This window comes from Homo sapiens, chromosome 19 (genome assembly GCF_000001405.40).
Source record: "Homo sapiens chromosome 19, GRCh38.p14 Primary Assembly".
Taxonomy (NCBI): Eukaryota; Metazoa; Chordata; class Mammalia; order Primates; family Hominidae; genus Homo; species Homo sapiens.
In genome coordinates, this window is record NC_000019.10 from 6,054,974 (window position 1) to 6,078,232 (window position 23,259).

The window sequence follows — 23,259 nt, forward strand, 5'->3', positions numbered from 1 at the left end:
ATCCTAATATATCTACATCTATATCTATATATATAAACTCCTACAATTCAATATAAGATGACAAATAACTTAAAAAAATGGTACTTCACAAAGCAAGATATACAGATGCCCAAAAGTACATGAATAGTGGTCAGCCTCATTAGTCACTAGGGAAATGCAAATTCAAACTATATCAAGATATCACTAAATACTCACTAGAATGGCTAAACCTGACAAGTCTGACAACATCCAATGTTGTAAGTACATGGAGCAACTAAAACTCTCACACACCCCCATGTGTAGATATGAATGATATGACCACACTGGAAAGAGGTTTGGCAGTTTTCTAGAAAGTTAAACCTGCCCTTTAACCCAGAATTCCTCTTGTAGTTTTTATCCAAGAGACATGAAGACATATCTCTTCAAAAAAATAATAACAACTTGTATAAGCATGTTCATAGCAGCTTTTTGTTTGTTGGTTTTTGTTTTTTGTTTTTGAGACAGGGTCTCCCTCAGGATAAAGTACAGTGGCACAATCACAGCTCACTGCATCCTCAACCTCCCAGGCTCAAGCGATTCTCCCACTTCAGCCTCCTAAGTAGCTGGGACTACAGGCACGCAGCACCATACCCGGCTAATTTTTGTATTTTGGGTAGAGACAGGGTTTCACCATGTTGCCCAGGCTGGTCTCAAACTCCTGGGCTCAAATGATCTGCCCACCTCAGCCTTATTCATAGCAGTTTGATTCAGTCACCAAAAAGTAAAAATAACCCAAATGTTCCTCATCAGGAGAGTGGACGAGAAATTGCAGATTATGATGATTTAAAGATTCATATTGAAAACCCTAAAACAACCACTAAAAATGGAAAAGAAGAGCATAGCTAAAAAGCTAATAGAGGAATACTACTGGAATACTCTTCATGAATAGAAAGGAATTAATTACTGAAATTCACAATGCATGGATGAATCTCAAAATCATTACGCTGAGTGAAAGAAGTTGAGTCCAAAAGAGTAGATGAGTAGAGTGGATTAAAACTAAAGTTAAAAAAAAATCATAATAGTGGGTGGGGGGGCAGGTGGCGGTGGGCGAGAGTGACTGGAAAGGGACAGGAGGGGACACTCCAGTGAGATGGACGCATTCTGTATGATAATACAGTGTGCGGTTACATGGAGTCGTGATTTGTCAAAATTAGCCAGCTAAGGTTTGTGCACTTACTGTATGTGAATTTTAACAATGACAACGAAGCCTGTAAAAATACAAGGGTGGAGAGGAGGACGGAGAGTGGGTACAGGTATCCAGGTGTTATAAGAATGGCAGGACCCTGACACCCTGTAGAGGGTGGTGGCTTCATAAGTTTCATTGCATTGTGTATTTACTTTGTGGATGTTTGAAATTTCCATGATAAGGAGTTAAACAAACACACACACAAGACACCAGCGATGAGCAGGAGTGGCTCATGATCCTGGCGGTGCTTCCAGGTAAGCGCAGTAGCTCACATGGTCCTCCCAGAAGGGGTGATGCTGGATCCTGAGTAACTCCTCCACCTGGCAGAGGAGAGCGCAGCAGAGAGTGGGCAGAGGGCAGGGCCCCGAGGGCGTGGGTGTACTCAAGGTAAAGTCCACAGGGCACAGGGACGCACACTGTGGAGCACCTTTGCAGCACCCAGTTTGGGAACCCCTCAATCCAGTGCAAGACAGTAGATGTGAGTGAGTGGAGGCCATGCTTCTTCTCTGAACCTGAATCTGCTGTGGGAACTTGGACCCATTCAGTGACTGCCCTGCCGTCCTTGCTTTCTCGCGTTCCTTTGTCCTCTCTTCTGTTTTTCTTCCTGTGGCGAGGACCTGGGCAGTCTTACTTTGACTGCCTTCCCCTGTGTCCTCTTAGACTGGGTTACAGGAGCCTCGGAACAGCCAATATAAAGGGGAGGGGCCGCAACACGACCTGTCACCCAGCCTGGCCCTGCCTGGCCAACGGGCTTGGCTGGCCCAAAGCTCCCTCCCTCGTGCCTCAGAAATATGCCCGGAGTGCTGTTTATAAGCTGAGCACGTTTCATTTACCATCTGGTCCAAGATCAGGGCGGGCATGAAATAAAGGGGAAAAGCACAGAACCAGCGGCGCAATTTCCCCTCCTTGGCCGGCACCAGCCTTTGGAATCCACGAAACGCTCATTTGACCTTGAACGAACATTCAAGTGAACCAGATGCGCACTTGACCTTTTGGAGCCACTGCTGAGTCAAACGCGCCAGTGGGAACATCTCCCGTGGCTTCCTGACTTCATGTGAGGGGGCACAGGAGAGACGCAGCTAGAAGCAGCCCTGGACTACGGCCGTGATGAATGAATCTGCCTGGGCACAAAGGGAAGAGGCTTCTGTTTACAGAAAAATACTCCCATCACCTAGTAACCAGCAATGTCAGGAAAGGAAATGCAGAAAACGCTGAGAGCAATTTCTGGGCCCGTTCCTGGCTGAGCCGCTGACTCACTGCGACCTTAAGCAATCTCTCTTCTATTCCTGTTCCTCCATATGCCAAATGGAGCTGTCACCTGCCTCACATAGTTCAGATCAGTATTTAGACAATGTTTTGTCATCTTTGGTGATAATTGGGGCAGAGTTAGCTGAGTGGTTTTAGTTACCTTCATTCTGATTGGCTGATGAGCCTCGGTGTTTGGGAGGCACGTGGCCTCCTCCGGCCATCAGCTCCTCCTCTCCTGGTACTCGCTGGCCTCCAGATGGTACCAGAGTTCATCTGCCCTAAGAAAGCAATTAATTTCCTCCCTCTGAACAAGAAGGAACAAGCCCGGAGTGCTCTCAGGAGTACCAGTTGCTTCAAAGCCCAGATTCTGTCCTGGTAGCTTGTCTTAACACTCCCAGTGTCATTAGGCTGCCCAGAAAAGTCTTGTCCGTTTCCTTCTCCCGGCTCCCCTCTGAGGGCCAGGTCCTCGGAGTAAGTGATGCGTGTTTTAAGATTCTGTCCTCACTGTTCAGGCTTGTGTGGCCTGGCCCCACGCACAGGGAGGACACCTCCAAGCCATCTCCTTGCCGAAAAGTGGATTCTCGAACCCTCCTTGATGGTGGAACCATGTCCTTTCTGGCACCAGGATTACTCCCTGTGGACCCAGTTGGTTCTCAGTGCCAAGAGTTATTACTCTGCCCTGATAATCACCAAAGATGACAGTGTGTGTCCCCACTTGGCACTGTGGACATTGGGGACGGATCCATCTCTGGGCTGGGGCCGTCCTGAGCACTGCAGGGTGCTGAGCAGCATCCCTGGCCTCCGCTCACTCCATGCCAAGAGCACCCCCAGTTGTGACAACCACAGATGTTCCCAGACATTGCCCAGTGTCCCCTGGGGCGCAGAAGGACCTCTGTTCAAAATGGATTTGTGATGTCTAAGAAGGGGTCTGGACAAACAGCCCCCGAGTAAAACAGGCCTGTAGACAGGGTGAGAACAGGAAGATGAAAAAGGAGAGTAGGCAGGATGCAAAATCATGACAATTCAGCCAGGCAAGGAGTGTGAAATAAATGAACAGGACCCTCTGAAGGCTACCCACACATTCCAGAGCAGCAGGCTTCAATGCACACCAAGGGCAACCATCGTTCCCTCCGTGCCTAAGCCACGGGGGTGCCCGTCATTCCTCACTTTTGGGTTTTTTTTTTTTCTCCTCTTGTAGCAATGGGCTTTCAAGGACTGGAGCTGGCTCCGAGCTTCTCTGAAATCAAGTATCTTCAGAATTCAAATTCCTTTTTCTTTTCGTAAGAATTGGGCTTCTGTTCCTGTTTTCTTCTCAGGAGCCAAACTTTCCCTCCTTTCTCTAGAAAAGGATCAGAACCAAGCCCTTGACAACTGGCCTGAGAAAGGGCTGTTTGCAGACTGGAAGGGGGATGGGGGAGTGCAGACACCCAGTAGGCCCTTAAGTCGCAGGTTCTAATCTTCAGAGGCTGAGAGCAGGCTGCGCTGACAAGGCCTCCCCTAAGCCAGGGACCCCCGTCTTAACAGTGGAAACACCCGTTCCTTCCCCTTTAGAAACCTGACTTTTTTTTTTTTCAGACAGAGTCTTGCTCTGTCACCCAGACTAGAGTGCAGTGATGCGATCATAGTTCACTACAGCCTCGACCTCCCTGGCTCAAGTGACCCTCCCGCCTTAGCCAACCGAGTAGCTGGAACTATAGGTGAGCACCAGCACGCCCGGCTAATTTTTAATTTTTTGTAGAGACAGGGGTCTTGCTATGTTGCCCAGAATGATCTCGAACTCCTGGACTGAAGCAATCCTCCCACCTCGGCCTCCCAAAGTGCTGGGATTACAGGTGTGAGCCATCACGCCTGGCCTTGATTTGACTATTAATATAAAAATTGTCCAAACTAAAGTATGGTTACCTCATCTCTGATGTGGTCTGATTTTAACTGCCATCAATAATATACCAAATTCAGGGTGAATTTTGAATTAAAAAACCACCAAGTCTTCATGACACTTTCACCCAGCAAATACTCTTTTGGCAGGCAACCTGATTCCACTGCTTCTAGCAATAACTTCAACACCACAAAACTTGGTTTCTAGGAAATGGAAATTCTCCTTAGGTTATGGGGTGCCCTAAAGTCCAACACATTGGAGTGAAAGGTAACTGGATACCAAGCTAGAGGCCGAGCAGCAGCTGGTGCTCTGTCCCCCAGGAGTGGATATCTGTCCCCCAGGAGTGGACATGAGAGTGTCACACACACACAGACGCATGTATACACTCCCCACGTATGCATATACACAAATATACATGGACATACACATATACACAAACACACACACACAAACACATGTACATACATGTATACACAAAAGTACACATGCAGACACACATACATGCACACACATACACCACCTGACGCAGGATAATATGAGAAGAATGGCCAAAACCACTCAGAAGACACGTCATTTTCTTACTCCATACATTTTTCTATTAAATTGAATGTTGACTCCTCCCACTAGACAAAAACAACGATTCTTGTAGTAAAAAGTGATGGGGGGGAGCCTGTGTTCACACATCCACACACATGCCTTTGGGAGAAAGCCTCAAAGTACATTTTTTTCTCTGTACTTTTCTCCTTGCAAGATTCCATTCTAAAATTGCAACTCTTTTGTCCCCCTTTTCTGACACCGCCTCTGCACCTCCTGGCTCTCAGCCATGCCCCTGCCATGCTGTCTCTTCCACTTCCTTCTACCCCACAACTCCTTCCCTGTGCTGACCTCCCCCCACTATCTCACATCCAGACTGTCTACATCCAGTTCCTTGCATCTTCAACTCCCATTTTCCCATTATCTATGATGGCTTTTGTGCTCCAACAGCAGAGGCGAGGAGCTGAGACAGACCCCAGCAGAAGCCTAAAATATGTACTCTCTGGTCCTTTACAGGAAAAGGCTGCTGGCCCCCTTCCTGAAGGTTCTAGAGCCTTCCGTCTCCCTCCAAGGACCCACCGATCAAGCCTGCAATCTGGCTTCTGCACAGGCTCCATTCTTTCAGCTTATAGACAAGCTCACATCACACCCATTTGAGGAGAACATCCACTGCCACTGAAACCCTGCTCTTTATCCTTTATCTTCTCTTGAGATATGGATTCTTTTTTATTTGTAAGTCCAGACTCTCAGGAGGGAGCCTCTGTCGTCTTCTCTCTGCATTCTCATGTCTGCCCACTGTTCTTCTTGAGGTCCTCACGGGGCAGTTTTCGGGCCTCCTCTGAACTTGTACTCTCTGCAGTGTTTCGTGTCGCTCCTCGAAGCTCTGTCCTCCCTCGTGTCTGGGTGCTGTTGTCATCTGGTTTCATTTTTCCCCCTAATGATACCTTCTCAGTCCCCTGCACTGGTCCCTGCTTGTCTCCCACCCTCGGCCTCCACCCTTGTGCCCCTCCCCTGTCACACTCAATGTGGACGACCTCCCGGCACCAGGACTCCCAGCACCACCCAAATCACCTGACTCCGGCTCCCTTCTCCAGCTGCCTCCCAGACCTCTCTGCCTGGGCGCCCCTCAGGTGCCTCAACAAGTCCAAGGGAAACTCTCCCCCCGCCAAAATTGCTCCTCTTGCGTTTCCTAAGCCAGGGGGCTGTTCAAGGCACTGGGCATCTCCCTGCGCCCCGGGACACGTGTCGCTGGTGACTCAGCCTGCTGTCTCCACCTGATACCATCTCTGCCTCCCCCTTCCTTCCGCTCCTGCTGCTACTATTTCAGTGAGCCCCTGCCTCCCTATCTCCTACCTGGAACCACCACATCCGCCTCCTAATTGGTCTCCCTGCTTCCAGCCTCTGCCCTCTCCCAGCCAATTTTCTTTCACATTGGGGTGATTCAAAAGATAACAATGTCTTCTCATTCCCTGGCTCAAAAAATCCTCCCAAGAATTTTCACCGCATAGACAGTGTGTGTGCTAAATCAAGGGATTAACTACCAAGGTGGGGGTTCCAGACCATTTCGATGTCGAAAAGGTCTGCTGTCTGTAGGATCCCTTCTTTAGAGGGTTGGAGCCTACCCTTCACACTTACAAGTCTGGCTGATCAAGACCTTGTCACCTGAAGACTGTCCGTAGGCAGGCAGAGAGCCCTGCCCCACAGAATGCATCCAAAGAAACGGAACATTTGGTTCCCTTCCTACTCCCGGCCCCGCCTCTGGATCTTACTGGGGAGTCGGCTGCAGCCGGGGGAAAAAGACTTTGCAACCTCCATTATTTATATAAATAAGAACAAATGCCAAGGGGAATGCCGAGTGGCTGGGAAGGAGGTATGACCACCCGGAGCAGAGGGAGGAGGCCAGGCTTCAGGTTCAAGTCCCAGGCTTGTCACTCGCTTACTGACTGTGGCAGTGGCCTTGGTTTCTTCATCTGAGAAAGGGGCTGGGAGGGGGAAGGGAATGATATAGCTGATGTGCCCACCCCGAGTGTGGATCCCAGCAGGTGCCTGATCAATGAAATATGTCCTAGGCAGGGGCGGGAGGATCCATTGAACCCAGGAGTTCGAGACCAGCCTGGGCAACATAGCGAGGCCCCATCTCTACAAACAAACAAACAAACAACAACAACAACAAACTGGGGGCCGGGGAAGGTGGCTGATGTCTGTAATTCCAGCACTTTGGGAGGTTGAGGCCAGAGGATTATTGAGGTCAGGAATTTGAGGTTGAAGTAAGCTGACTGCACTACTGCACTCCAGCCTGGGAGACAGAGGAAGACCCTGTCTCTAAAAAGAATAAACAAGTAACAAAACAAAACAATGAAAAACAACCAAAAAACCAAACTAGCCGAAAGAAAGAGGGACACAACCCCAAGGACAACAGCAGCGGCAGTAGCTGGTGGCCAGACCGAGCCCCAGACTGCGGGCAAAGCTGGTATACGTGGGGGCTGACTGACTCTGAGGAAGCCGTGACCACATCACCTCTGCTCTAGACACAACACACACGCAACTGAGGCTCAGAAAGGGCGAGCCATGAGCTGAAGGTCACAAAGCAGGAAGAGGCAGGCTAGACTGGAACTGGCTTTGGCTTGGGTTTGGCTAAGTCACTCCTTTAGGAGGAGGAAGCACATGTTTTTATGACTAGAGCCTCCGGAGCCACAGCTTCCCGACCTACGTGGAGCTTCCGTCTCTTTTCTGTATATAAATCGCTTCCCCAACCCCATGCCAAAGAGAACTCCAAATAACAACACAAGCTTAGCTTTTGCTTTAGAAGTTTCTAGAATTTAGTTGATGCTATTGGAGCTATCATGAACTGATACAGTCCCCGTGGGGAGTGACTGTATGAGCTCGAACTGGACTTGGACATTTCTCCAGCCCTCTGTGGTTCCAGTTGAGAAGTAAGTGCTCTTCATTCATTCTCAGTAACCAGGAGGAAAAGGTAAATCAGCGTGACTTAGAATGATCGTTCCCTCTGTCTATCCCCACAAGCAGTTCCCTGTGCGTTTAAAGCAGTGGGTTTTTCAGAATGTAAAGATCTGGGGGTCGCTCCCTGGCCAGTCGCGCATATTCAATATCTGCTCGTCCTTTCCCTCCCCTTCCAGAGACCAATGTCACCTGTCTGTCCTTTTCTGGTGCCTGGCCCTTGCTGGGGTCACCCACATCCCCTCCCGTGAGCTGCTGTGTCTCGTATCCCTCCTGTCCTGCCGCTCTCGCTCTTGCTCCTAGGCCGCCTTCTCCCTCATGCATCCAGCTACTTGGTTTGAAACTCTCCCCTGGCGCCTGCTCTGTGGGGAAAGCCGGGCTTCCTCTGATTCCGGATGGAGTGTTTAAATGAGATGTCCACACAACCCCCAAGGACCCTCTGATTCCAACGGAATTGGAGCCTACGCCTGCCAGACCCCCAGGCCTGAGCGCCAGCCCTTCACTGATCAGCTAGCCTCTGCCTGCAAGTCTAAGGTCTGCAGAATCGAGGGAGGCCAGCATGGCACACAGCGGTCCAGACTCGCAGTGACAAGGTGGCTGCAGTGCATGGAGGGCCACCGGAGGCTGGCACTGGTGTCTCCTGCACACAACGCAGGGAGGGTGAGGATGGGGTCCATGCACCTGCCAGGGTGGGGATGGACAAGACCCCTCCAGCAGGGCCAGGCAGGCTGGGCAGCCCTCTGTCCCTCAAAGTCCACCCGCCCATGACAGCTAAGATTAAAGTGACTGCTGCGTTGAAGAAGGAGGGAGGCAGAGAGACAGCAGCCAGCAGCTCCAAAGGGGATCCCAGGCAAGTGATGAGCAGTGGGGAAACCCTCTCTCCAGTCAGCTTGTCATGTCATACAGGCTTTCCTGACCTCAGCAATGCGGATATGAGGGGCAGGAATACACTCTGGGGTGGGGCCGTCCTGGGCACCGCAGGGTGCTGGGCAGCATCCCTGGCCTCCACCCACTCCATGCCAGGAAACCCCCCGACCCCTGTCTGACAGCCACAAATGTCTCCAGACATCGCCCAGTGTCCCCTGGGGGCAGGACCACCCCCATGGAGAACCACACGTCTAAGGCCACACCTTTACTCCACACAGCATTTCCAGATTCACCAAACCACTCTCCGTGCTTGTCCCCTCAGATTACTTCATGTCATGCAGCTGTTCACATCTGGCTTCTTGGCCAGCCAGCCCTTCTTGAGAAAACAAAGTCTGGATCTATGTCATCTCAGCAGCCCCCTCACAGATCCCTCACCCCAACCCCAGACCCTACGTAGCACATTGCCTGCAAAGATGCTCAAGACGTGTTTTGCAATGAACAAGAGAATGAGCAGCCCGCCTGCTCCGGGCTGCTCACCTGTTCTAGCCACCTTCACCATGTTGGCCTCCAGCTCCCGTCTTCAGCTGAGCACAGGGGCCTGTCCCAGGATTCTTGGAAGCGGCTTCCTAAGGCATCATGCTTTTGTGTTCTCCTTCTCTTACCAGCCTTTCTTTCCCTCTCACGTTTCTCTCCCTTTCTGACCATGAGCAGGGCTGCAGTGCAGCTGCTGATGGTCAAGATGAAGATGGGGAATGTGCCAGTGAAAACCTGGCATGCGGAGGCCTCACCTCACTCACCCTCTCCTGTCCCAGCTTCAAAATCTTTCAGAGCGACTCATGCTGCCAGAGGGTGGAGGAGTGGACCTTGAAATGACAAGTGACAGTTCCTCAGCAGTAGCATCTCCTGCTTTCTCAGCCTGGTGACCTGACCCGGCAGCACGCCCACTGGGCACCTGTGCCCACCTGGGGATGGGGTCTCGTCCTGCCTGTGTGACCCTTCCTCCTGACAGCCATCTCTAGAGACAGCCAGTGAGGGCAGGGCAACAGGCAGTGCATGTTCTTTCCACATCTCCATGACTGATTCTGGCCAGGAGGAGGCTGGCTTTCTGGATCCCACCAACATCACATAGGGGACCTTTTCAATCTACCTCCTACCTCCCCTCCAGTCGTGATTTGATTCTGGAATTTAAGAAGCGGAGAAAGAGCCTAGTTCAAATTCAAGAATTTCCATCTAAAACCACAGCATGGAGAGGCCCCTTTAAAAACCACCTAACCCAGCTCTTTCATCAAACAGATGAAGAAACTTACCTAAAGATGTTAAGTGGTTTGCCCAAATTGCAAAGCCTGATATATGGGAAAATACTTCCATGGGAAATAAGAAAATGATAAATTTAAAAAAAATTTTAAATGAGGCTCTAATTCCTGAAAAATGACTTACTTAAACTGGGGACTGGGCAGAAAATAATATTGTAGAAGGTAGAACAGCATTTCTTTGGGAGGATTTATCTTTTTAAGTATATAGTGGTCTTCTACCACTATCCTACAACAGGTTGCAGGACAAATAATGTATTTTAATCTTTGGGGGAGTCTTTGTGTAAGTCAGACCTTATTCATTTTCATTCCAACAACACTCGCAGCCATTGGATCCTAATTATCACATCTAATAAGGCTGATGGCTAATCAGCTTGCCTTTTTAAGAAAAAAAGGCCGGGCACGGTGGCTTATGCCTGTAATCCCAGCACTTTGGGAGGCCGAGGCAGGTGGATCATGAGGTCAGAAGATCGAGACCATCCTGGCTAACACGGTGAAACCCCGTCTCTACTACAAATACAAAAAAATTAGCCGGGTGCGGTGGCGGGCGCCTGTAGTCCCAGCTACTCGGGAGGCTGAGGCGGAAGAATGGCGTGAACCCGGGAGGCGGAGCTTCCTGGGCGACAGAACGAGACTCTGTCTCCAAAAAAAACACAAATGACATTCCATTATAAGTTTCTGCTGCAAAAGAAAGTTGGGAAATTTGTTTAGATACTTTAAATAGTCCTAAGATTAGCTGAAATGCCGGTAACAAACGTGCAATGAACATTTTCTTGGGGGCATTCAGCAACAAAGTGAATCGTCCTTAAAAAAAATCCATACAACTAAAGCGAGTCTCACCACGGGAACCACAGGAGCTGTTTTAGTGAGGGGCTGGAGTGTCTGTTACAGGCGGCACTTTTGCGGCTGTTGCTGCATTAGTCAGATTGCACTCGAGATGAATGAGGAAGAATAAAGTCTTCACCAAAAACCTGTCTTGGCTAACAGTTCTGAATTTATAGCCCTGGCAGTGGGGGCGGGGGCTGGGGGCGGGGCTGGGAGGAGGGGAAGAAATGTGTCACCCGCTCTGAATGAAGTTCAGGGGTGGTGTTTACCTAAGCAACAAACCCTTGTCAACAATCGCTATCTCTGGCTTGCCAGCGGAGGAGGTGGGGGAGTGAGGCTGTTTTGATCAAAATCCAACCTGTGGCTGCAAAGTGCCCATCAACAGGGCACTTTGTTAGTGGGAACGTGCGACCTCTCTTAATAAACATAACATACACATCCCACTGAGGGCCACGGGTGGACCCAACTTCTTAACAGGAACATTGAGCACATGAAACCAGAAGGTGCTGGGTCCAATTTCCACCCTCAGCCAACCCTATCTGTGAATGTCTCTACATGTGAGCCAGCCAGGGCTCAACTCTTTGCTCTTCTGAAATTCTTAGGCAGCAGAAATGAAGGCATCGTGCTGAAAAGCGCTCCAGAAATTGCGGATTTATCAGTGATGTACGGTAGTAGGTTGGACAAGTAATGATTTTCTGAACACCAGGAATTAGATCAAAAAAGAAATTCCACTTAAGACTAAAATAAGTCTCCAGTTGAGAGCAGTCTAGGACATATTCGAATGGCCAGAAGTTTGTTTCAATGGGGCCTCTGCGTTTGTGCAGCCTGGGAGTCAACATTACAATATTGGTTCTTTCAAGCAGATCCCGAGTGGATCCATGTCTGCCTGTTGTGGCAAATCAAACTCAAATTTAATCAGAGAAAAATATATGCAGATGTTCAATTAAAACCTGGAGTCCGCAGTCTTGGCACTGTTTGCCCGGCCCTCATTGTTTGCTAAGTAACAACGGTTGCCAGGGGCAACGCAGTCCACTCCCGTTTCCAAGAGCCTGTTGCTGGGCAACCGGGAGAATACTTCCCAAACCAAACAATGTCATCCCGGAGCAACCCCCTCTATCTCACATTAACCAGATCTAAAAAAAACCCTCTCAAATATGTAATCTATTATTTTCAGAAGCCCTAAGAGAAAGGCAAATAATCTCTTCTCTATAGTAACTGAGGGGAAAACAGTTTACCATATTTGTTCTGAAATAACAAAACCCAAGGAGGAACAACTCTCTCTGAGGTAAGAGGGCATCACAGGAGGGATTTCAATCCTTCCTAGTACTGGGAGGAGAAAGTGCCCTTTTCTCCAAGAGGAAAGAATCTATTTATCATCAAACAAACAATGTGGGAGAGTTCATAGCTGCACAAGTGTTTTCTGGGCGAAGTAAAATGAATCATGGATTAAGCTATTTGGAAAAAAGTGTGAAAACAGAGGAGTTGATACCAAATTAAAACGACTTTTGGAAATATCATGTACGTATGGAACAAGTGCAAAGGGAACCACTGACTCAGCGTCAGAAATGCCTTGTGGGGCTTTGCCGGGAGGGACTTACAGTATATCTTTGACATCACTGCGCCGGCTCTTCCCTCCCTACCCGGAGAGAGGAAGACTTTTCTAAGAGGAAGCCAGGCCACATCAGATGCCCCCAGATGGCAGGACACACAAGGGACACATATCTCCGGAAAGAGGAGGCACATGGTTGGGCAATCTCGACCCATGAAGGGGGAAAAGAAAAGGGCTAAACTGAAGCTAGTGCAGCTTTTGTTCTGCCTGGAGCAGTTCAGGCTGAGCATGGCTTCTCTGAGGCTTTGGGACCAGGAGAGGGTGAAGTGGCACCACCACCTTTCAAGGGGAACACAGAGCTCTAAGCAGTGCTCTTGTTTTTGGTGGGCCCAGCCAAGGATCTTAAAACATTTTGATAGAATGAGCAACATGTAGCTGCAGCCTCGATGGGTCAACATTTTGGATGATAAAAGCACACAATGCTGATAGATTTGTGCATGACCAAGCATACCTTTCAAGGAGCTCTCAGCGGAGGTTTGCCCTTTGAGACAGACACAGTCAGTGCACAGAAACTGTTTTTTTAAGATATCATCCAGGAGTCATTCCTAGAATAGGAATGGAATAGACATGCCTCCCTGAGAAGAAAGGAAGACAGATTCTATACTGTTAGAATTTGAATCTGTGTTGCAGGGAGATGAGGAATTTGAAGCCAGACTCTTGGGCTGTTAATGTATGGCTAAGTGGTGATGTGGTGACAACCTTGAATGCTAGTCCTGGAGGTCAAATCACCAGCAGCTGGTGCCATGGGAGGCTTTGCTTAGGGGACACGGCTGGGTTCTGCCTGGATGCTGCATCCCAAGGGAGGCATTGAGGTGCGGCTGTGAGGACTCCAAACCCCATGTCCAGAAGGATGAGTAACAGAGATCCTGTGTCATTCATTGATTTCAATAAAATATTTATTGGATCCATAGCATGGGCCTGGCATTGACCAGTCATCAAAACACAATTCCCTGCCCTCATGGAGTTTCTATTCTAGACCATGCGGGAGGATAGGAGCATATGGACAGTAAACAAGGTAAGTGAGAAAAATATGTCGTACGTCAGATGACACCCTATATCATATGGTGACAAGTACCAGGGGGAAAAGGAAGCAGACAGAAGGAGTGCTGGGATAGGAAGGGGTTGCAATTTTTAAAGCGTTGTCAAATGCTTCCCTGGGTGGGCTCATTAAAGAGATGAGGAAGGTGTGGGACGGAGCTGTCCAGATATCCTGGGGAAGAGCGTTCCTAATGGAGGGAAAAGCCAGTACAAAGGCCCCGAGGTGGGACAATGCCTGGCTTGAAACTGGAGCTGAGTGAACCAGAAGGCAAGGAGAAAGGCCCACACAGGCCATTGTAGGGGCTCTGGCTTTTGCTTGGGGTAAATGGAAGCCATCACAAGGTTTGAGCCCAGGAATGGCCTGGTTTGACTTGCATTTTAACCAGGCCCCTCTGGCTGCTGGGTTGAGAATAGGGGAAGAAGGAAAAGGGTGGGAGCAGAGAGAGCAATCTGGAGGCTAATGTGATAATCTGGGCAAGGGAGGGGGGCCTGGCTGTGAGCCATGGAGGGGCAAAGCCGTCAGACTCTGGATAAACATAGGAGGTAGAGTCAGCCAGATCTGCTGACGGGTCAAGGGTACCTCCAAGGTTTTTGGCAACTAAAAGGATGAGGTCAGGAAAATTACCCAAGAAAAAGGCCTGGAGAGCACTTGGGAGTTGAGTTCTGAAGGTGTAAAGTGTGAGAGGCTCCTAGACACCCAGGTTGAGATGCTGAGAAAGCAGGCAGATTACATAAGTCTCAGGCTGAGGGGTGAGCTGGAGCCATCAGTGTATAGAGAATGCAGGCTGGAGCCATCAGTGTATAGAATATATGAACTAGAGCCATCAATGTATAGATAACATAGCTGGAACCATCAGTGTGTAGGGGACATGACCTAGAGCCACCAGTGTCTAGAGGATGTGGGCTGAAGCCATCAGTGTATAGAGAACATGGGATGGGGCCATCAGTGTATAGATGACATGGCTGGAGCCATCAGTGTATAGAGAACATGAGCTAGAGCCACCAGTGTATACAGGATGTAGGCTGGAGTCATCAGTGTATAAATGACCTAGTTAAAACCATAAGACTATCTGGGCTCACCAAGGAAGAGCAGAGAGAAGAGGCCTAGGGCTGAGTTCTGGGGCTGTCTACCATTTAGAGATCCCAAAGAAGCAGGAGCCTGAAAAGAGGCCAAAGAAGTATAAGCAAGTGGTGTCCTGAGAACCAAGTGACTCTGGGGCTGAGTGGTGATCACTGGAATCAGCAAAGTGGAGGTCACCAGTGATTGTGACAGAGGAGCTCCAGGGGAAAAGTGTGTGCAAAAGCCACAGAGGTTGGAGCAGGTTCAAGAGAGCCCCAAGTGGAGCAGAACTGGAGACAGGAGGACCAGATGGCTCTTTTGAGGAATTTTTGCTAGAAAGATAGGAAGAGGAATGGGGAGGCAGCTGGAAGAGGAAACTGAGAGCGGGTTTCTGAAAATGAAAGAAATAATAGCAGGTAGGACCTACCAGGAGGGAACTGGGATAGGAGAAAGAAGGGAGACTTGCAAGTGGATGTTCTTTCATGGATGGGATGGGATGGGATGTGGATGGGATGGGATGGGATGTGGATAGGATGGGATGGGATGGGATGGGATGGGATGGGATGGGATGTGGATGGGATGGGATGGGATGTGGATGGGATGGGATGGGATGGGATGGGATGGGATGTGGATGGGATGGGATGGGATGTGGATGGGATGGGATGTGAATGGGATGGGATGGGATGGGATGGGATGTGGATGGGATGGGATGGGATGGGATGGGATGGGATGGGATGGGATGTGGATGGGATGGAATGGGATGTCCTGCAGAACACAGGTGGGCTTGGCCAGGGCTAGGTGCATGGATATGCATCCACCAGTACAGGAGAGAAGACAGAGTGTCCACCCTGGAAGGTGACACCAAGTCATAGTCCTTCTGGAGGGGGGTCCTGGTCCCCAGTCCCATTCTTCATCCATGGAATCCCTGTGTTTACTCCTCGCCAGCCTCAATAGCTGGCTGCTGGGGGCCTCCACTCTCAGCAGGGTGGACGGGCTTGAAGCCACACGATAGGGCCTGGGTATAAAGTATGATGACCTAGGTCCACAGACCTCACATCAGAGCCTCCAGCAGACCCTGGGTTCATAGTCACATATGGGCTCCATGTGACCAATACTTGCCCCCACCCCATGGTCCCACCTCAATGCCTGACAGAAGCCCCACTCCTCAGGTTTATGCACATGATTTGCCTTTTTCACTGCTTTCTTTTTCTTTTCTAGACACAGGGTCTTGCTCTGTCACCCAGGCTGGAGTACAGTGGTTGGATCATAGCTCACTGCAGCCTCAAACTCCTGGGCCCTCAGCCCAGTGATTGTCCTGCCTTAGCCTCCCATGTAGCTAGGACTACAGGTGCACACCACCACGCCTGGCTACTTAAAACAAACAAACAAACAAATTGTAGTAGCAAGGTCCTACTATGTTGTCCAGGCTGGTCCTGAACTCTTGGCCTCAAGCAGTCTTCCCACCTCAGCCTCCCAAAGTGTGGGACTGCAGGCGTGAGCCCCCGTGCCTGGCCCTCACTGCTTTCCTTATGGTTACTCCATACCTCTTTTCAAATTTGCCAAATGGCTAATCTTTCCACACTCGAGTATTATTAGAAATGAGTTTTAATATACCTATTTTTCTTGCTATGTCAACGTACAAACATGCATCCTTAAATAAGAAAGTGTTAGAGTCACATATTAAAAATGCATTTCTTGCTAAGTCATGCTCGAATTATGCAAGATTGCAAGGAAATTTAATGCAAGACAAATGAGTGAGGCCAGGAATCTTGCTGTGAGAGTTTGGGAAGCAGAGCTCCCTGGCTCCAGACAAGGAATGGACTCAGCCTGACGGGAGGAGGTCTCGCCTGTCTTTGGGAGGGAAAGATCCTGTCGGTACTTTTAAGTGATCGTCTATCTTTGAGGCACAGACATATCTCAATTGGCCCGGGACAGAAAATCAAGCCAAGTCAGAGATCCCCTCAGCAAGACCCAGGGATCTCTGAAGAAATGAAAATGAAGCGAAGAAAGACAAAATTAGAAATATTTATTCCATCCGTCATCTCTTTGCTTGTCTCAAATGCCACCATCCAACCCAATGAGAACGACAAAAGGACATTCTATTTCTGTCCCCATGAAAGTTTCAACCCCAAAGCAAAACCTCAGTGTGCGCTGAGAAGATGCAGCAAAAGGGTCTTTTTGTTAAACTCATTATTAGAATTAAACCCAAAGAGGGAAATGTTGGAGGTATTTTAGGTTTTTAAACTAAATTAGTCCCAATTAATTCTAAGAAGATACACTAAAATCAATTCTGTTTTAGAAAGGCAATTTAATACAAAAGCTTGAGGGGAAATGTTATTTTTAAAATGTAAAAAGGCACCTTAAAACCTGTAAAATATTTTAAATGGCTTTCCTATTCCATCAAGTTTTGAGAGGGGTTTTCATTTTTCTCAGGAAACATTTTCTCCCGGTGTGGGGTTGGGGATGACTTCAGACAGGGCCTGAAAGCAGCGAGCAACTCACGCTGTCCAGGAGGGGCGAGAACAAACCCTCAGCTTTGTCTGGTTCTGTTTTTGGTGTCTCCATTCCCAGCTCCGTATTAAGTCAGTTCCCAAATCCGAGCAAAAGATAATTTTGGATAAAAAAATGGAATGTTCTAACTCCGCCTGAGAGATGGAAAGAGAAACAGAGATGAGTCTGATGAAACAGAACTCAAATCACCCTCTTCCTGACCCACCGCTTCTCTTCTGATTCAACTGTAGATTTGGACAAATTGCCACCTTTCAGACCTTTCCATGTTCCAATATTCTTTCCATTTGTCCTGGCTTCCAGAAGCCTTGGCGGCCCAAGTATCCACCTGGGTGCTGGGTGACCCTGCCTGTTGCTGCTCTTGGAAAGCATGTTTCACTTCTGCATACATTTTAAAAGATAAATATTTGGGCCAGGAGCAGTGGCTCATGTCTGTAATCCCAGCGCTCTGAGAGGCTGAGGTGGGAGAATTGCCTGAGGCCAGGAGTTTGAGAACAGCCTGGGTAACAAAGCGAGACCTCGTCTCTAGAGAAAAAAAATTAAAAATTATTCGGGTAAGGTGGGTGTGCCTGCGGTCCCAGCTACTCAGGAGGCTGAGGCAGGAGGACTGCTTGAGGCCAGGAGGTGGAGGATGCAGTGAGCAATGATTATACCACTGCACTCCAGCCTGGGCGACAGAGAGAGATCCTGTCTCTCAAAAAAGAAACATGAAGTCTTCCTTCCAAGGACATAACAAAGAAAAAAGAGAAAAAAAAGGCCCCTCTCTCTTCAGTGCTGCCTACGGAGGTGGCAGCTGTCTCCTCCTCAGCATCATGGCCGCCCTCAGACCCCTCGTGAAGCCCAAGATCGTCAAAAAGAGAACCAAGGAGTTCATCTGGCACCAGTCAGACCAACATGTCAAAATTAAGTGTAACTGGAGGAAACCCAGAGGTATTGACAATAGGGTTTGCAGAAGGTTCAAGGACCAGATATTTTTTTTTCTTTTTTGAGACAGAGTCTCACTCTGTTGTGCAGGCTGCAGTGCAGTGGTGCGATCTCAGCTCACTGCAACCTCCGCCTTCCGGGTTGAAGCAATTCTCATGCCTCAGCCTCCAGAGTAGCTGGGATTACAGGCTCCCACCACCATGCCTGGCTAGTTTTTGTATTTTTATTAGAGACGGGGTTTCACCATGTTGGCCAGGCTGGTCTCAAACTCCTGACCTCAGGTGATCCACCCTCCTCAGCCTCCCAAAGTGCTGGGATTACAGACATGAGCCACCGCGCCTGCAAGGGCCAGATCTTGATGCCCAACACTGGTCATGGGAGCAACAAAAAACAAAGCACATGCTGCCCAGTGGCTTCCGGAAGTTCCTGGTCCCCAGCGTCAAGGAGCTGGAAGTGCTGATGTGCAACAAATCTCCCTGTGCTGAGATCGCTCACAGTGTTTCCTCCAAGAAACAAAACCATCGTGGAAAGGGCCGCCCAGCTGCCGTCAGAGTCACCAACCCCAATGCCAGGCTGCGCAGTGAAGAAAATGAGTAGACGGCTCATGTGCATGTTTTGTGTTTAAATAAAACCATAAAAACTGCAAAAAGATATATAAAAACAAAAAATAAATATTTGAAATATTTCCATCCAAATGGAATTTCAAAACAATTAAAGATGGAAAGAAGGAAGGCTGAATGGATGAAAGCCCTCTGAAGCTTACTGTAGAGTGGAACGATGAAGACACAGTTGCATTTCTGTGTAAGTCAAATTCTCTTTTTTACCGTGCAAATTTCATGGTTAAGATGAGGTTGAATGCGGACGGCTAATACCAGTAATTTGGGCTAAGCGCTCCTCTTCCGGGAGTCTGAGCCATCTGAATTGGCTGTTTACCCAGCTCATACTGATCAGGAAGTATCTGAGAGGGTGAATGCACCAATAAAAAGCCACCCAGACCCTCCTCTCCAGCAAGTGGAAAGTGTGTGTCTCGTCCTCACACAGGAATGACTGTAGAGGACCACAGGGCGACTTCTAGGCAGCCCCCAGACAGGCCGGCCCTGGGTAGCAGGAACTCGTTCTGCCCCAGCTGAGGTTCTGGGCCTCATCACTAATGACCCACAGCAGCCAAGGTCAGCCCTCGGGAAGATGGAAAATGAATGAAGGGCAGCTCTGCCCAAAGCGGCGGACCAGGTGGGCAAACAGAGAGCCGGGGTTTTGTAGCAGGGGTGGGGGTGCGGTACAGGAACAGATCTGGAGCTTGTGGCAGGAGTTCAGGTGGAACATCAGGCGGGGTACAGATGCCACAGTGTGGAGGAAGCTCCTCCTCTCATCCCAAGCTAGCCCCTTCCTAACCTCAAGTCAACGAGAAGAGAAGGTGGGCTAGAACCTTTCCACCTTCCTCTTAGCACCCGGCCTGTGCCGGTGCATCTCCTCACCCCACACAGTGCCCTGGGTACAGGGGCTGGGGCTTGAAGGGTGCCCATAACACACTCCCTCAGAGCCTGGACACTCAGCCATCGTTCATTCATTCAACAAACACAGTCTGAGCATCTGCCATGTGCCGGCTTCAAGTGCTGAGGACACAGCAGGGAATGAAACAGATTGAGTCCCTGACCATGTGGGGCTGACCCCTCAGGGAGAGACAGACGACACCATGGACACAGAACAGCAGGAGGTGACAAATGCTCTGAAGAAAAATACACTCAAATGCACAAGTGGAGTGCGGCATGGGCCAGGGGCAACAAGGTGACCTGGGGCAGTGACAGGACAGAGGCAGAGTGAGGTGAGGAAAGTGTCGCCGCTGAGAAGGCTCTGCCAGGGATGGTGCTCGGCAAGGCTGAGGCACACGGGACATGTGGGGTCACACGGGTCACGTGAGGAGGCCACCAGAGGGAGCTGGGGGAATGCTGGGGGTTGAATGTTGTGTCCCCTTAAATTCCTATGCTGAACTCCTCACCCCAAGGCAGTAGCTTTAGGAGGTGGGGCCTTTGGGAGGTGATTAGGTCATGAGGGTGGGATCATGCCCTCCCTTATGGAAGGGACCCCAGAGAGCTCTCTCTGGCTTCCCACCATGTGATGTGAGGACACAGCAAGAAGACAGCCATCTGCATCCCAGAGGGAAGCCCTCACCAGAACCTGACCCTGCTGGCACCCTCTTCTCAGACTTCCCACCTCCAGGGCTGAGAGATGTGTGTCTGTTGTTTACAGCCACCCAGTCTATGGCCTTTTGCTGAAACAGCCCAAACAGATTAAGACAGGAGGAGAAGGAGGAAGAGGAGAAAGAAGAGGAGGAGAAGGTGGAGGAGGAGGAGGAGGAGGAGGAGAAGATGGACTTAGAGACACAAGGAGGCCACAGTGGAGTGTTTGGCTTTCGCTCTGAGTGTGCTGGGAAGCTACTGGAAGGTTTAGGGCACAGGGACACAATCTGACAGATATTTTGGAAGTATCAACGGTCAATGGAAGCAAACGTCAGGGCTGGACAACCAGGTCAGAGGTGACAAAGACTTACGTGATAGCAGTGCTCTCATTTGGGAGACACCTGAAGACAGAGCCAGCCAGGTTTGCTGACGGGTTTGACATAAAGGGTGAAAGAAAGAGAGGAGTCGAGGCTGACTTAAGGCTTGGGGCTGGCCTGAGCACCTAGAGAATGGAGCTGCCCGGTGCTGAGCTGGGGAAGCCCGTGGTCTGGGGAGAGACAAGTGTGAGGTCGAATCAGGCACCCAGTTTTGGGTGACAGAAGCCTCAGATGCCCATCAGATGACACCCACATGCAGCTGCCACCTAGGCAGCTAGGTACACAAGTCCAGGATTCGGGGAGTGAGCCAGGCTGCAGACACTAGGACACTGGAGGTTCTAAGATGCATTTCAACTCTTGTACCTCGGTGAGATCACCAGGAAAGCAGGTGTAGATAAAGCAGAAAAGAGGTCCCTTCTCAAGTTCAAAGGTCATGAACAGTTGGAGGATCTGGCATAGGGGACAGAGGAGAGGAAGAAAGCAGAGGGAATATCGAGCTCTGAAATACACAGCGTCACCCCTTTACTTGGCTTTCGGAGCTTGGTGTTCACAAAAAATTAGAAACGAGGTTGGGGGCGGTGGCTCATGCCTGTAATCCCAGCACATTTTGGGAGGCCAAGGTGGGCAGATCACTTGAGGTCATGAGTTCGAGAGCAGCCTGGCCAACATGGCGAAACCCCATCTCTACTAAAAAATAATACAAAAATTAGCCATGCGTGGTGGTGCATGCCTGTAATCCCAGCTACTTGGGAGGCTGAGGCAGGAGAATCGCCTGAACCCGGGAGGCTGAGGTTGCAGTGAGCCGAGATGGTGCCACTGTACTCCAGCCTGGGTGACAGAGAGAGACTCTGTCTCAAAATAAATAAATACATAAATAAGAAACAAACGTTCATCAACTGGAATACCATTAACTACCTTACGGTGCATCCTAGCTCTAAAACAGGAGGCTAGGCGAGGGTGCCTGGGTCCGGTGCCTGGGTCCAGTTCCTGGGTCCTCCAGTTTCTAGCTGGGTGACCTCAGCCAGGGACTTAAATCTTTCTGCACTTCCATTTCTTTGTCCATAAACGGAGAAAATACTTCTATCTGTGTTGGGTGGTTGTGTTAAATGAGAGGAGTCCTACAAAGTGTGGAGTTTAATGGCCAGCCCAGCACACGGAAAATGCCCATAAATGTTCATTAGCGTCATCGTTGTAATTCACACCATTATAACGTAACCCACATAATTTACTGATTTTTTGCAGATTTAAATATCTGAAACTAAAAGCAGTTATGCTGTTTGCTATTTGTGATTTCAAAAACTCTTCGCTATTTGTGATGTTGCTAAGCCCTTTAGGGAGTGCCTCCTGCTATGAGCTATATTCATTCCAGGGCATATTTGTGGGGTTTGTCATTTTAACCAAGTACTTAATACTTGTTTCTCTCCCAGCATCTTGCCAAATGTGGCAGCTCTCCTTCTAGATGAACACTACTGCATTACTGTTATAGAAATGATATTTTAACATCAACTCCCTTTTCCCTTTTCTTCCCTAGAAATCCAGTCCTTCCATGAGACCTCGGTACACACAGAACTCCTCCTACCACGTGCAACCTTATTCTCGGCTGAGCAACTCATAAATCGCATAACAAAAACAGTGATTGATGCGGACTGTGTTTAGTGCCATCCTTGCCGGTGAGAGGGAGTGAGCCAGCAAGCTTCCTTAAATCTCTTTAGTTCTCCAAAAGGAGAGGCCATTTGCCTTCTCATCTATGCCGCAAGTTTCTGGGGCTTGCATCATTAACCTGGTGGCTTTGCCAATTCCTTCGCCAGTGCTGGGTCAAAGACAGGCAAGGGCACCAGGGTTAGCCATGAGTGTGTGCCAGGGGCTGAATGCAAAACCCGGGAGCACTGGTGGCTGGGGCAGGTGGGCTGGGCTCTGCCACTGCCTCCCCCAGCCCACCCAAGAGGGGCGTGTGCCTCTGCAGGAAATGGCCTCCAAGCATTTCTCAAGACTTACGAGATGTTCAAACCTACACAGTCAGAGACAAAGAGCTAGCTATAAGTGGGGTCTTTTTCCCCTCCTCAAAATTCATCCTGCAGAAGTAGACATGTGCTAAACAGTGCATGGCCACACAAATGCTTGGATACCAATGTTCACAGCAGCGTTGTCCTAATGGCCCCAAAGTAGCAACAGCCCAAATGTTTGTCAACTGATGGATGGATAAACGAAGGCGGCCGGGCGCGGTGGCTCACACCTGTAATCCCAGCACTTTGGGAGGCTGAGGCGGGTGGATCACCTGAGGTCAGGAGTTTGAGACCAGCCTGACCAACATGGAGAAACCCTGTCTCTATTAAAATACAAAATTAGCCGGGCGTGGTGGCACATGCCTGTAATCCCAGCTACTTGGGAGGCTGAGGCAGGAGAATCGCTTGAACCCGGGAGGCGGAGGTTGCAGTGAGCCAAGATCGCGCCATTGCACTCCAGCCTGGGCAACAAGAGCAAAATTCCATCTCAAAAAAAAAAAAAAAAAAAAGGAACGAGGCACTGGCACATGCTGTAAACGGATGGACAGTGGACCCTGAAAACATTATGTTACGTGGAAGAAGCCAGTCACAAAAGGCCACATAGTGTGTGATTCTGTTTATATGAAAGGTTCAAAACAGGCAAATCCACAGAGACAGAAAGTGGATTCACAGTTGCCCGGGGCTGGGAGGAGGAAGGGCAAGTGGCTGTTCATGGCAGGTTCAGGGTTTCTTCTTCTTTTC

The 23,259-nt window shown here is 49.5% G+C and overlaps 1 protein-coding gene, 1 long non-coding RNA gene and 1 pseudogene across 8 annotated transcripts in view, besides 4 other annotated features; 2 read left to right on the top strand and 1 right to left on the bottom strand.

Annotated features, from left to right (window-relative positions):
• Nucleotides 1-23,259, bottom strand: part of RFX2 (regulatory factor X2) — a 117,337-nt gene that overhangs the window by 61,810 nt on the left and 32,268 nt on the right. For 2 of the 7 annotated variants that reach the window (XM_047439197.1, XM_047439196.1), the window contains exon 2: nt 17,032-17,174. The exons of the other annotated variants lie outside the window; for them this stretch is intronic. The gene's annotated coding sequence lies outside the window, so the exon portion shown is untranslated. The remainder of the gene's footprint in view (nt 1-17,031; nt 17,175-23,259) is intronic. 7 annotated transcript variants of the gene reach the window in all.
• On the top strand, nt 7,625-22,151 carry RFX2-AS1 (RFX2 antisense RNA 1). Its single transcript, NR_199041.1, has 2 exons — nt 7,625-7,795; nt 22,047-22,151. It is a non-coding gene; the product is annotated as an RFX2 antisense RNA 1 (long non-coding RNA).
• Nucleotides 10,909-11,410: an enhancer, noted in NCBI's record as "H3K27ac hESC enhancer chr19:6065893-6066394 (GRCh37/hg19 assembly coordinates)". NCBI's record gives its function as "activates a minimal SCP1, AML or CMV promoter by ChIP-STARR-seq in naive H9 embryonic stem cells {active_cell/tissue: H9 hESC(naive)}" and the evidence as "EXISTENCE:reporter gene assay evidence [ECO:0000049][PMID:30033119]".
• Nucleotides 10,925-11,219: an enhancer, noted in NCBI's record as "tiled region #343; HepG2 Activating DNase unmatched - State 1:Tss". NCBI's record gives its function as "activates a minimal TATA promoter and a strong SV40 promoter by Sharpr-MPRA in HepG2 cells {active_cell/tissue: HepG2}" and the evidence as "EXISTENCE:reporter gene assay evidence [ECO:0000049][PMID:27701403]".
• Nucleotides 17,795-18,605, top strand: RPL32P37 (ribosomal protein L32 pseudogene 37; annotated as a pseudogene).
• Nucleotides 19,394-20,187: an enhancer, noted in NCBI's record as "H3K4me1 hESC enhancer chr19:6074378-6075171 (GRCh37/hg19 assembly coordinates)". NCBI's record gives its function as "activates a minimal SCP1, AML or CMV promoter by ChIP-STARR-seq in primed H9 embryonic stem cells {active_cell/tissue: H9 hESC(primed)}" and the evidence as "EXISTENCE:reporter gene assay evidence [ECO:0000049][PMID:30033119]".
• Nucleotides 19,407-19,576: an enhancer, noted in NCBI's record as "experimental_51983 CRE fragment used in MPRA reporter constructs". NCBI's record gives its function as "activates a minimal promoter by MPRAs in K562 erythroleukemia cells, with activity observed for both the introgressed and non-introgressed 19:6074476 variant alleles {active_cell/tissue: K562}" and the evidence as "EXISTENCE:reporter gene assay evidence [ECO:0000049][PMID:34662402]".